The sequence below is a fragment of the Homo sapiens genome, chromosome X (assembly GCF_000001405.40).
Source record: "Homo sapiens chromosome X, GRCh38.p14 Primary Assembly".
In the NCBI taxonomy this organism is placed as follows: domain Eukaryota; kingdom Metazoa; phylum Chordata; class Mammalia; order Primates; family Hominidae; genus Homo; species Homo sapiens.
This window is the reverse complement of record NC_000023.11, coordinates 110414729-110431050: the sequence shown is the minus strand read 5'-3', so window position 1 is coordinate 110431050 and position 16322 is coordinate 110414729. Positions and strand designations below refer to the sequence as shown.

General features: G+C 44.2%; 2 protein-coding genes across 11 annotated transcripts in view, besides 2 other annotated features; one reads left to right on the top strand and one right to left on the bottom strand.

Annotated features, from left to right (window-relative positions):
* The window catches only part of AMMECR1 (AMMECR nuclear protein 1), a 246048-nt gene that overhangs the window by 9183 nt on the left and 220543 nt on the right, over positions 1-16322 (top strand). Inside the window, exon 2 of the mRNA NM_001171689.2 lies at positions 4248-4393. The gene's annotated coding sequence lies outside the window, so the exon portion shown is untranslated. The remainder of the gene's footprint in view (positions 1-4247; positions 4394-16322) is intronic.
* RTL9 (retrotransposon Gag like 9) overlaps positions 1-16322 on the bottom strand; it is a 97487-nt gene that overhangs the window by 25284 nt on the left and 55881 nt on the right. For 3 of the 10 annotated variants that reach the window (XM_047442284.1, XM_047442283.1, XM_017029695.2), the window contains exons 2-3: positions 11916-12049; positions 9777-9909 (exon numbers count right to left, since the gene is read on the bottom strand). The exons of 3 other annotated variants lie outside the window; for them this stretch is intronic. The gene's annotated coding sequence lies outside the window, so the exon portion shown is untranslated. Of the gene's footprint in view, positions 1-9776; positions 9910-11915; positions 12050-16322 lie in introns of those variants that run through there. 4 more of the 10 variants (XM_047442285.1, XM_047442288.1, XM_011530999.3 and 1 more) reach the window with 2 other exon arrangements.
* Positions 3488-4137: an enhancer, noted in NCBI's record as "NANOG hESC enhancer chrX:109670142-109670791 (GRCh37/hg19 assembly coordinates)". NCBI's record gives its function as "activates a minimal SCP1, AML or CMV promoter by ChIP-STARR-seq in naive H9 embryonic stem cells {active_cell/tissue: H9 hESC(naive)}" and the evidence as "EXISTENCE:reporter gene assay evidence [ECO:0000049][PMID:30033119]".
* Positions 12223-12723: an enhancer, noted in NCBI's record as "H3K4me1 hESC enhancer chrX:109661556-109662056 (GRCh37/hg19 assembly coordinates)". NCBI's record gives its function as "activates a minimal SCP1, AML or CMV promoter by ChIP-STARR-seq in naive H9 embryonic stem cells {active_cell/tissue: H9 hESC(naive)}" and the evidence as "EXISTENCE:reporter gene assay evidence [ECO:0000049][PMID:30033119]".

The following is a 16322-nucleotide window of genomic DNA, read 5'->3' as shown; positions in this document are numbered from 1 at the left end:
AGTGGCCCTTGGTTCCTGACAGCCTCAGGGCCTATGAAGGCAAAATCCAAGTTTCTTCATTCCTTTTCTCAGGGAGTCCTGAGTATCATACACAAGTACAAATGCAAGGTGTCATTATAACCAGCCATGTTATGACCACATCTAGGGATTTTTAGTTTTTAACACAAGGTGAAAGATGTCTCACCAATTTCAGTTTGACATACAAGATGCAAAGTAATTTATTCAAAGCACTCCTGTGTTTAATTTCAAAACAGTCATTTATTCACTCAGCAAATCTATGTTGAGCATTTCAAAGAGCTGTAATTCATGGTTCCTGCTTTCAAACTCCTCCTTCTCTAGTTAGGAAATGAAAACCCTATATACAAGGGTTAACTGACAACACAAGACCATGCCAGCTTCCTTTTCATGCCTGGTGTGGACTATATGGCTCTCATAGTTTTGGCAGTACTGAAAATTTCCACTCTATTGCTTCTGTCACTACTGTTGACCTCTTCTCCAATACAAGGTGGTAAGTAGATGTGTCTCTAGGGTGCCTGGGTTCATATCTGTGTTCCGCCATTCACTAGCTATGTGACCTTGGCCAAGTTATTCAGCCTGTCTGAGTCTGGTGCCTCCTCTGTAATGTGAAGATAATAATAGTAACCTACCTCACAGCATCATAGTGAGAATTAAATGAGTTAATACACACAAAGCACTTAGAATGATACCTGACACATAATCATTGCTCAATAAATGTTAGTAATTATTATTTTCCTGATGTGCCTACTGTTCTTTGTTAATACCAGAGGTCACAATTCTTATTGGGCTTCCAAAAGAAGCGGTAAAGTACCACATTCATTCATCCACTCAATCAGCAAATATATGTTGAGCATCTACAAGTCCCTGAGTTAAGCCCTGGGATCATATAGCCAAAGAAGACATGGCCCTTGCCTTTGGGACTAAACAATTCACTGGAAGAACTCCTGGATTAATAGTGCCCTGATGCACTTGGAAGAACCAAACACAAATCCTCCCTGGAAGAACATGCCCACCACCCAGTTTTCATAGGATTACCAAGGATAAAGTCAGGTTGAACATGAACTCATAATCCAAAATTACAAAGAACACGATGAAGCCAGAAACAATGAAAACAGAATCAGGTCTTCAAAGACCTCAGGTATTGCAATTAGGTGATATAAAATATAAAATAAGTTTTACATGTATTAAAAAACAAAAGATTTTGAAAACATTGCCAAAGAACAAGATACTAACAAAAAATTACTTTTTCTAGCCAGGCATGGTGGCTCAACGCCTGTAATCCCAGCACTTTGGGAGGCCGAGACAGGTGGAACACTTGAGGTCAGGAGTTCAAGACCAGCCTGGCCAACATGGTGAAACCCCATCTCTACTAAAAATACAAAATTAGCAGGGCATGGTGGCATGGGCCCGTAATCCCAGCTACTTGGGAGGCTGAGGCAGGAGAATCACTTGAACCCAGGAGGCGGAGGTTGCAGTGAGCCGAGATTGCATGCCACTGTACTCCAGCCTGGGCAAGAGAGCAAGCCTCTGTAAAAACAAAAAAACCAAAAAAACAAAACAAAAAAAAAAAAAAACACTTTTTCTCTAAGTATCATCGTTTTATAGATGGCAAAGAGAAGTGAGGTGACTCCTTCAATGTTGCATAGCTAATAATGAGGGATTTAAATCAGGTTTGCAGTGTCTACTGTTTTTTGGCAAACTCAGTGACTGGAGTTGTATTATTTCTTCCCTGAGTCATTCAACAAGTGAGATGATTACAAAGTACTATGCTAAGTCTATAAAAAAAAAAGATGAACAAAATAGAGTCCTTGCCCTCAAGAAGCTTAAAATTCAGTAGACAGGCAAGACTACACACATATAAAAATAATTATTAATATCAGGCTGTGTGGTAGAAACTACTGTGGTCTGGAACAGTAGGAGATGAGAATTGAGCAATTCTTGAAGAACAGGGTGGATCTACAGGGAAGACAAGCTTTGAATTGGCTAGTGGGGTAGAAGAGATGGAACAGCCTGACAAAAGCCGTGGAGAAAGTGAACCTACAGAGCAGTTGAAGGAGGAGCAAGTGCATTTGGCCAGTGCGCTGGATACACGTAGGGGCAGACCTGTGCCGTCGCATCGGACCCTGAAGTCAGAAGAGCCCTATGCTTGGTTTAATGCTCTCCTTTGCTGCTATCTTGAAATCCTTGATTATATTTTAACACGGGGTTCCACATTTTCGTTTTGCACCAGGACCCTCAGATGATGTGGCTGGTATTCCATAGGGGAATGGGGGGAGGTATGGTTGGGAAGGCAGACCACTCTTGGGAAGGAAGGATCTGGAATTCCACTTTGATATTTGCCCTGCAGACAATGAGGAATGACTGAAAGTGTTTGAGCAGGGGAGGGATAGGGTGACTGTGGTTTTAGAAAGCCACATCTTGGAGAGGGGGGGAGTGTTCAGATGGCATCAGAGAAAGGAGAGATGGGAAATAGTCAGAAGGCTATTGCAATAAAGCAACGGGGGCCTGGACAGAAATAGTGGCTGATGATATGGAGAAGAGGAAAAGGTCATCATTGATTCAGTTATTCGTTCTGCAGATGGTTATGGCTACTGAGCACCTATAATGTGTGAGTCTTTGTGCTAGGAGCTGGGATACAGGAATGTACAAGGCTCTGTCCCTAACCTCAAGTTACTTACAGTTCAGTGAGGGAGGCAGATAAGTAAACAGACTATGGCAGCCTGATAGCCCTGTGTGCTAAGGGCTAGGATCAGATTACATTTAGATTGTTGCGGGAGCCTAGAGAAAGGGTCCAGACAGAGAATTCTGAGATTCCCAAGAAGTGATATCTGAGCTGCATCCTGAAGGCCACAGACAAGGCACAGAAAGTCACTCCAAAAAGAGGGAACAGGATGTACAGAATCATGGAACATCTACTGTGTGCCAGGTGGGGATCCTAGCTCTCAGACTGGTAGAGAAAGTAGACAACTAACCAGAGAAGAACAAGAGAATGTATCCAGTGCTATGTTGTGGACGCTGTGGGAGTACAGAGGAGGGGCATCTAACCCAGACTGGACAGGCGGGGAAAACTGTTCCTTAGAGGTGTCTTCTGAGCTATGTGTTGTAGATGAGATGGTGTTAGCTGGGTGAAGGGAGGGAGGAAGGGATGGGCACAGCAGTGGGAATGATGTGTGCAAATGCACAGAGGTAAGAGACCATGTGTGGCTCTAAGAGAATTGCAAATGACTCCCTGTGATTGAATTCTAGAATGAACAAGCAAGAGCATAGTGTTGGGGGTGGTTATGACCAAAGAGATAGACCTTAAATGCCAAGCTAAGGAGTTTGGACTTCATCCTATAGAGCAGTAGTTCTCAGCCTTGACTGTATATTAGAAGCACCTGGGGAACTTTAAAAACAATACTTATGACTGGATCCCACCCCTAGAAACTGATTTAATTACTCTGCAGGAGAGGCATTAGAACTTTTAAAAGCTCCCTCCATTTATTTGAATGTGCAGCCAGGATTGAGAACCATGGCTCTAGGGTGCCAGTTCTCAAATTTGAGTGCTCATCAGAATCACCTGTAGGGCTGTTAAACACAGAGTCAGGTGAGCACTCTCAGAGTTTCTGATTCAGTAGGTACTCTAATGAGTACGTACTCTAACTTTAAGAAGTTGCCAGAGATGCTGGTGTTGCTGGCCCCAGGACCCACATTTTGAGAGCCTCAAGTCTCAGGTGTTGTGAGGCTATTTACAAGTGTTAAGTGGAGGGGATGGAGGTGTGAAATGATTTGATTTGCATGTTTGAAAGATCACTCAGGCCACTTTGGGGAGAATGGTCACAGAGGACTAAGGAGAGAAGGTGAGAAAACCAGAAGGTATTGTAGGAATCAAGGCAAGAGATGTCTGGAGGTGGGAGGAGTCCTGAACTAAAGCCCTGGCAGTAGGAATGGAGAAAAGAGGTGACATGCAAGGAATGCTTAGGAAATATACTTGGCAGGGCTTAGTGACTGGCTGAATGTAGAGGTGAGAAATAAAGATGAGTGAACTACAACTCTTGGGTTTTTGCCCTGGGCAACCAGTGACTCCAGTTTTACTAGGCATGGTAGTTACTGTAACAAAAAGTTAAATGTGTTACCAGGCTTAGGGTAGGACATGGGAGAGGGGGGCATTTCTGCCCTCAAATCTCATAGCAATAGTCCCAGGGAATTCAACAGGCATCTCTCATTGTCCACTCAATCCCTATTTTCAGCACCATGAGTCCTCACCTTGACCCTAATCAACTTGGGATTCTCCTCAAAGTACTTAGAAAGGAAAAGGAAGACGGTGACTACCCTGACATGATGGCCACCCACCCGAGCTCCAGGTATGAAGCCTGCTCCTCTGGAATTACTCTAGGTATGTTTACTTTATTCTTTCATCATTTTAACAAATATGTATAGGGCTGCTGCCCACAGGAACTTAAAAATATTCAGACGCCATGTCTCACGCATAGGTAAGGAATTCATATCTCTTCTTACATAACCAACAAAGCAAATGCAGCTTAAGTACAGCCTGAAAAATAATTCATTCTACATAGATTTAAAATGTCTAAAAATGAGCAGTTTTCCAGTGCGTCACTGGTCATGACTATTTGTAAGTCTCCTCCGTGGGCAAGCAGACTACCAGCAATCAACAAGACCAGCAGGAATGATGGATGGGATAATTGTCCATTAGGGTACAGATAACTTTTGTATCGTGGGAGGGTTCGACAAGATAGAGACATGATAGATGGAAGAAGAGTTAGCTAATATAATAGGAGTTGCAGCTCCATTCTGGTAGTAACTATTCTCTGGCTGAATCGATGATTAATCAAAGACACATTCTCATTTGAAACACTTTGCTCACCGGTGCAAAACCCCCGCTTTAGGTTAAATTTAATAGCATCATTAAAAACTGCTGTTCAAGACATTCAAATTACTTCTCTCCAGAAGAAATCAAGCCACAATAGAGAATGCTTTTGTGAACCCCTGGAGAGCAAGGGCCATGCAGGATGTGTGTGTGTGTGTGTGTGCGTTTGTGTGTGTGTGTGTGTGCGCGCACGCACGCACTAAACTTATAAATCCTCAATGCCTAGCACAGGAGCTGACACAGAGCACTCAATAAATGTTTGTTAAAGTGAAATGAAATGAATACATTTGTCTATTCATTCATCTGTTTATTCCTTCGACAGACATTCATTAAATATAGGAATTAAAGAGCTCAGGCCCTGGAACTAGATGCTTCAGGCTTCAAATTCCAGCTCCAACCAGCTATATGATCTTGAGCAAATGACTTAGCCTCTCTCAGCCTGATGCCTGCTCTGTAACGTGGGGGAAATAATAGTACTTGCTCCTGTAGGGCTGTGTGAGGATTAAATGAATTAGTGAGTGTTTAGCACAGGCCCTGGCCCATAGTAAGTACTCACTATAGGGCAACTATTATTGTTGTTGTATATGTTAGGCTAGGCCTTTCTCAAGTAACTAGGTCATTAGAAGAAGCACAGAACCTCTTAAGAAATGATAAGGCTTTTGGCCAAAGCTGGTTTTCATTAAAGTGGTTATTTATGGTTCCCAGCCCAGAGCCCCACTGCCCTAGGCCTGCCATTCCTGGCCTGGTGCCCTCCTGTGGCAACACAGGCTGTCTCTAGGTGGGTTGTGCTCTCTAGAGAAGCCTGAGAAATTGCGGAGTGGGAAGGTGAAGGAAGAAGGTAAGAGCTGGCCAGGATCCAATTACCCATCAACATGCAACCCCTGCCACACCCCCATCATTAACTCCCTTGGTTGCCTTTCTATGCTTTTGTATAGCTCTTCCTGGCAACATTTCTACCTACTAATTGCTATTTCTAATGTTTATCCTCTTGGCTCAGTTGAACAAGATTAACCTTGATTTTAATTTTAATTTTCAGGCGACATAGTAGAGAATACTTGACTTGGGAGCAGGAGGCAAGGGAAGCGATACAACTCAGTGATTATAAGAGGATTCTGACATAGAAACAACTGGTCACTGAAGAGCTGTGTGACCTAGACATTACCTAATGTCTCTGAGTCTCAGCTGTAGAAAAGGGAAAGCGAGAATACTGTTGTCAAGACTAAATGAAAACCACCTAGCATACTGCCTGGTTAACAGTAAAGCACTCAATAAATGGTGACTATGACTATTATTTTGAGGTCCTTGATCTGGAAACAGAAGCCCAGAGAGATTAACGGGACAACACTCATGTTGTTATTTGGTGGCAGAGCCTTCTTGATCCTTGTTCTCACCACTAACCCAGGCCTGCCTCTTTCAAACATTTTACAGAACCCCATTTACACATACTCTGATATACTACTTATAATTACATGCTTGGTTTTTTGCCTGAGGTAGATTTAATAAATTCAAGTGTATTCGTCCCATAGCTGTCTGCCTGGAAGGTCTTATGAACAACTCCAGGGCAGGAGCCATAGGTTGCTTATCTAATATGTGCTCAATAAATGATTGGTGAGTGAATGTTAAGCTTGAAGTCAATTACCTACCTGAGTTATGGATGTCCCATACCTCCTGTGTTACATTACAAGCAGTGCAGAAAAGTAGAATGGGTGCAAGGGACTCATGCAGGCCTGGGTTTGAACTCTACAACTGGTAGCTGGGTTCAAAGCACCTAGGAGTGCTGGAAAAATGCAGTTCTGGATAAATAGAGGAGGAGAAACAGTAGCAGTAGTAGTAATAGTAGTAGCAGCAGCAACAGCAGCAGTAGTATCAGCAAAAAGTGGAGTAAGAAAACTTTTCTAAGGATGAATTTTGTCCTCAAGAGCTGTGACGGGCCCACAATGTGCTATGTGGAGGAAGTGTAGTGTAACTGAGTCAGATAAACCTGGGTTTGAATCCTAGCTCTCAACTTATTAACTGAGTGTGACCTTGCATTATGTTTCCTGAGCCTCAGTCTCTTCATTGTAAAATTAAGATAATGATAGTACCTACCTCATAGCTTTGTGGTGAGGATGAAATAAGATATGGTATATAAAGCATATCATAGCACAACACCTCACTCATAATAATGTCTCAAAAAAAGCTATTTGATGAATTAATGAATGTGCATCTTTAGCAAAATGCCATGAAAAAACTACAGACATCCTTTAGCATCTGCCTGAGAGGAGAAGGAGGAAGAGACAATTCCAAATAAGAACTGTCTCAATAATTAACCACCTGTTTCTTACCATGCAACACCTAACGTCGGAAGAACTGGAAAAAATTGTGTGATCAGAACAAACCATTCCCAGTGAATGCATAGAGAGAAGCTGCTATTTCACATCATAGCTACACAGTTGCTGGACCTGAGAGAGTCCCTCAGAGTGTGAATAAGTGTTTGAAAAGACAAGTACAGGGCCTGACACATATGGAATAGTTGATCACCTTAGTTCCTTTCCTACCCTTCTCCCAAATGGGTAGAAACAAACAAACCACTAACCAACAAAGCAGCAACAGAAAAACTGAGTTAAAGTGGTTGAGAACTGATCATGGCAGTGACCTTACTGAATGGACCCTTCACTCTTGGCTCTAGTGTGACCTGCCAGCCTGGAGAGCCTCTCAGGCTGAGCAATTAACCCTAGCAGAGAAGTCATGATGCCACCACATCTTCTCGTTCTCCTTCTCCTTCTTCTTCTCTCCTTCTCCTTCTCCTTCTTCTCCTTCTCCTTCCTCTTTCTTTTTCTTTTTCTTTTTTTTTTTTTGAGACCGAGTTTCACTCTTGTTGCCCAGGTTGGAGTGCAATGGCACAATCTTGGCTCACTGCAACCTCAACCTCCCAGGTTCAAGCAATTCTCCTGTCTCAGACTCCCGAGTAGCTGGGATTACAGGCATGTTCCACCACCCCCGGCTAATTTTTGTATTTTTAGTAGGGACAGGGTTTCGCCATGTTGGCCAGGCTGGTCTCCAACACCTGACCTCAGGTGATCCGCCTGCCTCGGCCACCCAAAGTGCTGGGATTACAGGCATGAGACACCGCGCCCGGCCTCCTCTGTCTTCTTTATGAGCGTGAAGGGTACAGGACATGACGGGGTGGGATCAACTCACGGCCTAGGCTACAAAAACTCTTTTCTCCTCTTTCTGTTCTTTGCCCCTCAGCCCCCAGTTCTTGTTTGGACATGCACTGAGAATAGCATTTAGGATTCCTGCATTCTCTATCTCTTTTTTAATGTTTGGATTGGCTGTTCGCCAAGGCAACAGAATAGCATTTTCAAGGAGCAGGTGAGTTTGGGGAAGATCTCTTTTCTTTTCCAATATATTAACTCCATGTGAATTAAAGCCATCAGAGACCCTCTTGGAAAGAGCATATAAGTTCTCCCAGGGCTTCCAAATGAAAGTCCCTACAAGAGACCCAACAAGGTTGTCATTTTTAAGGGAAAAATACCCAGGCATGGTAGCTGCTGCGAGGAAATTTGAGAAGTGACCTGCAAGTTACATTTGCGATGTGAAAACCACTTTGTGTTCTTTGTAAGCAACTGTTTGATGTGTGGCATTGCAGTCATGGGTGTGAAACATCTGGTTTTAACCAGAATGTGGGTGATTTGCCACAACTGGGGAGAACAGGTAAATATGGCTTTGCCTCCTGGTCTCGTATCTGGCCCAGACATGCAAATTCCAGTCTGCAAACTTATTCTTCTCTGCCAGGATTCAATAGGTTAATGTCAGCAATTGGCAGAGGTCTGCCTGTGGTTACACTGAGTGGCACATGGCAACAGGTAAGGACAACAAAAGGCTGCCAGAAAAGGGAGCCCAGCTTGTCTGAGGGCCAGGTAATCTGACTTGCCAGTCAGGGGAGGGAACAGTTCCTGGTTCTGGGCCAATACTGGAGGTACAGAGAACAGAACCAGAAGAAACCTGGACAGGGAAAAAGAGACAACAGCTACCATTTGTTGAGCACTTACTCTGTGCCAGGCACTATGCCAAGTCTGGGTGTGTTCTCTGATTTGATCCCAGCCAGAGCCCCATTTTCCAGAAAGGGAATCTGCAGCCATAAGGCAAAAATAGATCAAAACTGGGAACTTAGAATAAAACAAATACCAAAGCACTCAGAAGGCAAAGCAGTTAGAGCTAGTTGCCAAGAAAACTTCAGGAACCTGTGTTCCTTATAGCCATGGCCATTGGGATTTGGCCATTTGCATCTAAGCCACTCCATCCCTTCAGTTGACTCCCTTATTGGGTCAGCTTTTCCTGTCACACCTCAAGGTGGTTGGCAAAGGCAGAGCTGGTTTGGCAAGGACCGGGACCAGAAGAGGGATGAACAGGTGTCTGCAACAGATTCCTTTGAAGAATACTTTAATGGCCTTATGCCATAAAACTCAGGCTAGCATGCCAGTGGAAGAAGAGGATCGATGAGTTGAAATAGACAAATTGGCACATGAATTTGAGCTTTGTTTACACTTCTATAATCAATGTTACTCATTGCCTTGTGTGGAAATAAGATGTTCTACCATCAGTAATACCTGTCGATAAATGCAAATATGCTCGAATTTCATTAGCAGAGACCCCTGCTTAAGCATACTGACAATTGCAATGAAAGCACAAGTCCTACTGAAACTAGCACACAATACAAGTCGCAACACAACTCTGACCCGTGACTTATCTACATAGTCTTCCCTCACAGACATTAGGTCTCATTTGTTCTTGAGCCAAAATTGTCCTTGGCTCTGATCAGCAGTTAGTGAACAAATGACACTGTATGGCAGCATCCTGCCACTAGGGTGTACAACTCCCACAAGTATGAAAAGCAAGCATCTCTCACCTTCAGACTGCTGTGCCTACAAGCAGCAAAGTCCAAGTGCATGAAAAGAGTTAAATCCTGCTTGGTCCCTTGAAGGGCTAGAAAGCATTTTAAAGGTGACATACATCAGAGTGATCCATTTTCACGGGCTGGGCTGTGCAAAAAAGTCAGAGGGGCTGGATGAGAACCTTAAACAATGACAACACAGTTGCATTCCCAGCTGTGTTAAATGACCAGCATATCATGATTGCCTTTTCACGCAAATATCAATGACATAATCCTAACAGGCTTGCAGCTCTCTCGCTGGTGTAATAAAACAATGACCCAATTATTTTCAAGGGCTGAGGCAGTAGATGCAATGACTGGGTATGTTGTGCAGGGCGCTGTGTGTGATGGACGGGGCACAGTAGGGCAGCAAACTGTGTGCTGAGGATCGGAAACCTGCCTCCCGAGCCAAAACTCCTGCCATTCATCTGGTCAGAATAAAAATAAAGCCATTCAGTATGAAAGTTCCCACTTGTTCTCACGACGGAGGCCAGTTGGGAAAATGTGGTGCAGCACTGACTGAAGCAAATTCTGTTTAAAAAACCAGCCGGTTTGTGGGTATTTGTTTATTTATAACTGCCCCACCACCACCTCCCCACACCCTGCCTCATTCTGCAAAGGATTTGAGATGGGATTGGAACACTGAAAGTTTGTTTAAGTCCTAAACAGGTCCAGCTACTTTTTAGACCGATGACAAAATGAAACCTTCTGGATCAAGCCCCTTGCTCTGTGGAACACTGCTTTGGTTTACCCAGCCAGAGCTAGTCCTTCTTGTACCCTGTGGTGAGAGGCACCTCTTGCACCAGAATACCCTTGTGCCCAGTGCTATGCTTGACCAGGGAAATACACATGAGCCCATAAGCCTGAAGCCTGAAAATATTAAGGAATATGGATTCACTTACTCCCTCACTCATTTGCTCATTCAACGAATATTCCTTGGTTAGCTATTCCAGAACAAGCTCTCTTCCAGGCACAGGGGAAGCAAAAATGAATAAGATCCAGTCTCTGCACTTGAGAAGCTCCTCGTCTAGTAGGAAGGACAGACAAGTAAACAAACCCCTGTTCTGCAATGTGGCCAGTGCTGTAGTAGAATCGTGCCTGGGGGTGGCGTGGGAGGTGTAGGGTAACATGAGGTGGGGGCTGCAGGTGGCATAGATGATTTAGTTTGTGGACTTGGACTCAGACTGCCTTGAGTTCAACTTTTGGTTCTGTCTCTTGCTAGCTGTGTGACCTTGGGCACTTTTCTTAACATCCCAGAGCCTCAATTCCTTCATCTGTTAAATGGAGCTAATAATAGAGTTGACGTCATTGGGTTATGATGAGGATTAAATGAGATAATCTGTGTAGAACACTTAGAACAGTTCCTGGCACATAGTAAATACCCAATAAAAACTTAGCTTTTTATGCTTTTTATTTCTTTTGTTTAATTTCATAAGACTGTGTCTGGCGATGAGACTCCAAGGACTGGTTTCTAAAACAGAACTGTTTTCAACAAACTCTTCCCTTTTAGCCTGATTTTTTTTCCTATGGAATGACACAGTTCTGCCATAATTTTTCCCTCAGCAACCATATGTCTGGCAAGAACCTCAGGAAGAAAATATTTTCCAGATGGTTTTGCTTATGTCAGCCTACTATGTGCCAAGCACCACTCTAGAGGAGAGGGACACATTGCTGAGTGACACAGACAAGGTCCCTGTCCTCTTGGAGCTTACATTCCAGTGGGAGAGACATACCATAAATAGACAAATATAAATAGACATAATTACCCAGAGCAGTAAATGGGGTTAAGGAAGCATTGCTAATAAAAGAAATGTAAGAGAGGAACAGGAGGCATCTAACTGTGGGTGGTCAGAGAAGGCTCTTCTCAGGAGGTAACGTTAAGCTGAGACTGAAAGGTTAGGAAGGAGCCTTCCATGCCAAAAGCAAGAGGAAGGGCAGTCCAGGCAGGAGCACGAACAAAGGCCCTGGGGCGAGAAAAGACCGAGAATGTTGCAGAAATTGAAAGACCAGTGTGGCTGAGACACAGAGCCCTAGGAGGGAGGTAAAGCCGGCAGGATTAGTACATGCATTTTGAAGCTGAGGAAATGGAAAGCCCAGAGAGATGAATGGACTTACCCACAATGCCTTGCACAAGGTAGGCGCTCCATATGTTGTAGAATTCACAGTCAGTAGGGCGGGGCTGAGGCCCTTTGCCTTCCAAATCGGACTGAGATTTCCCACCACAACTAGGAATCAGCTACCCAGGGAGACTGAAACATACAGTCGTTTTTGTTGGTGAGTCATAGGCAATGCACATTAGAGTGTGGGGTCGAGTGGCCCCAGCTGCTGCCTGTGTGTGTAAAGGGCGGGGGTGGGCTCAGGCCGCGGCTGAAGCTTTTTAGCATGTTTATGATGAGCTGAAAGAACTCACTGCTTAATTTAAAATACGGCTCACACATACACATACAATTCAGCAGCTGGAGGAGCTGCCAGGAAATGAGAATAAGTGTAGAAAATTGGAGGATCAGGAATATCAGGTATTCGGCTCCGTTTCCCAGCTCCCATGCGCTGTCTCTGATCCCATAAGGTCCCATCTTCCCTAACAAACTCTGGGAGGTCAAGACATGGTTGGAGACCGTGGCAGTTTGGGGAAGGGAGGCCTGGCCAGAGCCCTTAATGCTAGCTACACTGATTGCCCCACCCGGCCTTAAGCTTGCCGGCCTTCCTCTCGTTCATGTTCCTTGAAATCTGACGGCTGGAAAAACTCATTTGGCCCTGATCACTAACTGCCTATGCTAGCTGCTGCTTTTCCTGATTGTGTGTATCTTGCCTCCTCAACCACACGGGGGCCATCGGCACACACTTGAGGAATTGAGTTGTTTTCTTTTGTATTCACCGCAGCTCTCAGCACAGTAGAATTTACACAGTGAGAGACTCGAGTGTGTTTGCTCATGGGTTGCAAGATAGTATCATTTGAAAAGCCTTTGGGGCAGAGTACCTGCTCTTAATTAAAAAAATAAGAACCTCAACTTGACAAAAATGTGTTAGACCATCAGGCGTATCTCTGGTTTCCTTCACATTGTTCCTCTACACCCAGAGTCCCCGGCCTGCATGCCGGATGAACCTACAGCCTCTCAATCAAAATGCTCCACAAGTCATCTCTTTGGGTTCTTTGCTCAGAATATCCCTTCTGACTGGGATGCCCTCTCTCCCAACTCTACCAATCATAACCCCATCTCACCCTTCAAGGCCAAATGTAAATGCCATCTCTGGCATGAAGCTTTTGCAGGCACAATTCATTGCTCTTGCCCCTGAACATGGCACCCTGTGTCTACCTCTTTTATGGTACAGGCTGGTGGACTGGAATGACCTGGTTTCAAATTCCAACTCCATCACTTCCCAAGGCTACCTCCGTTTTCTCTTCTAGAAAAAGGGATAACAACATCAGCCTCAATGGGATGTTGGAAGTTGCCAGTAAAATAATATCTGCAGCCTGCATAGCACAAGACTTGGCCTCCAGAGCTCAGTAAGTGTTTTTTGTCATCATCATCATCTTCATCACCTCTGGGGAGCAGAAGAATGTAATAGTTCCAGAACTGGTTTGGTCCATTCTTAAAAATGTGACCTTGGGCCAGTCTCTTCCACTCTGAGGCTCTGTTTCCTCATGTGTATAAAATGAAGTGATAATAGTTTACCCACCTCCATCACAAAACCTGCTGGGAAGATGCAAAGACATAATAATGTAGGCAAGGTAAACTGCTAAGCACAGGGCTTATCGCATAAAAAAAAAATGCTCATTTGCGTCTGCACACCCCTACAACCTAGAAAACTCCTTTAAGGGCACAGACAATATTTTACTTATCTTTGCATCTCTTGCTGCCTAGCCTAGCCCAGAACCTCTGCAGCTGGCAGACCCACAATAAATCATTGTTGAATTGAATTGAAAACCCAAACCAGATGTGCCTCCTCCCCTGTCAAATGAAGCTTTCAAGCTGGCAGGTTGGGCCTGCTGCCTCTTCACTCCCCCTCCCTCCAAGCTGAGCAGCCGCCATTGTCTAGGCCTGGCTCTGGGGAATGAGGCAGTGCCTGCCGAGAGGAGGGATTCAGAGTGGGTAAGGATAGATGGCACTAGGTGGGATGAGTGCGGTAGGGAAGAGCACTCTGTCTGTTCCTGATGACCCCAAACAGACTGCCTTTGAAGGGGGCTATCCTGAAGTCTCTGTCGAATGAAAAGTAGTGACAGTCCAAAAGCCCTTCGCCACCCAGCGCCTAGCTGTGGAGGAAACCCAGCTCTCCCCCAAAAACCGAAAATTGGAAGTAAATGAAGATATCGGGAGAAAGCTTCCTCTTCCTTTAGCAAAGATAGTGATACAGACATTCAGAGAGGTTCAGCTCTGAAATCATAAGGCCAGGATTTGAAGCTGAGTTCACTGGCACCATGGGCATGCTCTAACCACTGGGCCACCTTGCCTCTAAGCTAGTCTTGCTATAGAAGGACAGGAGTATGTTTTCACCCTTCCCACCAACCCCACAGGACGCTTAGAAGCAGAGCGTATGGCTTTAATGGTGGAAAATACTTTAAAAAGTACAAATCTGTTACAAAACTACAAAAAGAGGCCCATGTCTTCAGTGTTTCTGAGCCAGAGCTATGCAGACAGGGCACAGGGGGTAGCATGCTAACCAGCACAGAGTCAAGGTAATGGGCCACACACCTGAACATGGCCACTTGGATTGTAACTCTAGCTCTGTCACATGCTAGCCTGAGTGACCCCGGGCAAGTGATTCAACACCCCTGTGCCTCCATTTTCCCACCTGTCATATGATATTAATAATAGTACCTCCTCACAGGGTTGTCTATGAGAAGTAAATAATCTAACATTTTTAAAGCAGTTACCATGTGCCCGGGACATGGTAAACATTAAACAACGGTTCGTTAAATCAAAATAAATACATACCTCTGTCCCTTTGTAGCCAGACTAGTCTAGAGGCACTGTTGCCAAATGGTTAGTGTGTGCCCATGGAACCAGCTGAACTCGGCTTCAAATCCTGGTCTCATGATTTCAGAGCTGAGCCTCTATGAAACTCAGTTTGACCATCTCTACCATGAGAACAATAACAGTCCCTTACCCACAGGCTGTTGAGAGTTTTAAATGAGATATCTCCAAAGTCCAGAACACAGTGCCTTGCCACGGCAGAGTGAGTAAGCACCCAATTAAGGCAGAGTGTTAATCATCTGAGTCTGCTTCCCATTTTTTTTTTTTTTTTGCCTCTTCTGGGTTAAGTTAACCCACGATATATAGTTTTGGAAGTCTTGCAGCAGTAAAGGGAACAATTTCATCATTTTGCCAATGAAATTCCTAAACATTTTATTCAAGAGCCAGAAAAGGCAAACATTTTTGGTCATTTCTAAATCAATGAAGCATGGACAATCAGTTTCCCCACTCAGCAAACCTGACTCCCAAAGCTATAGAAGTCACTTTGCAGGACAAAATTGAAGGAATGAGTATTTTACTGCAAACAAAAGCCATCTTTGTTTGCGGCCCAGCTTTGGGAGAAAAGAAATACCTCAACCCAGGAGCTTGGAAAATTCTTGAAAGTTATCTTTTTATTCCAGCAAATCCAACGTAATTGGCAAGATTCCTGACCATGCAAACCTGAGTCAGAATGAGTCGCCTTTACCCACCCATCTCCCCACAGCACCCAGAACCCAGCAGAGTACACTGGGCATCAATACATATTGGTTGTCGATTCCTCCATGGGAGCCCCAAATTCCATTTCTACAATGTCTGCTACATTGCCAAAACAATCCAAAAGCAGCACTAAAGAACATTTTGAAAATGGGGAAAAAAGCATCCATCACTCACCACTCTAACACAACTCTTAGTTTTGTGTGGAAAGTTCTCTTCCAGTCTTTATCCATGTGCAGACATATTTTTATAGCACTGTAGTCATAGGGAAAAACTGCAGCAGCTTCAGCCAAGAATCAGATACCATACAGCTCATGTCACTAAACTTTCCAAGTGAGAGCTTTTTCTTCTCTCATTCACTCTATTCATTCATTAATTCAGTCATTCAACAAACATAGATTTAACCATGGCTCTGGTGCTACGGCCCTGGGGAGTACAGAGATGACTAAGGCACAATCCCAGTTCTCAAGATGCTTCCAGTTTAATGGGGGAAACAGAGAAGACAGCAGGAAATTATAACACACTGGGATAAACATGAATGCTGTGAAAGCACAGAAGAGGAGCATTTAAAGTGGGCAGGAAAGGGTGTGGAGGATGGGGAGGCAGAGAATATATATATATATGCTTTCTTCTTTCTTCAGAAGAAAGCAAGGTGTCATCAGGTGGCCAAAAATAGTACTGTGTGACTGCATGGGCAAGTGGTAGTGGATGCAGTGAGAAAGGAAGGACAGGGCCAAATCATTAAGATCAAAGGTTTCTGTTTCATTCTGAAGACTGAGGGGAAGCTCTGGAAGGACTTTAAGCAGAGTAGTAGCACTGTCAGATGTGCATTTTAGAAAGATTGTCCCAGCAACAG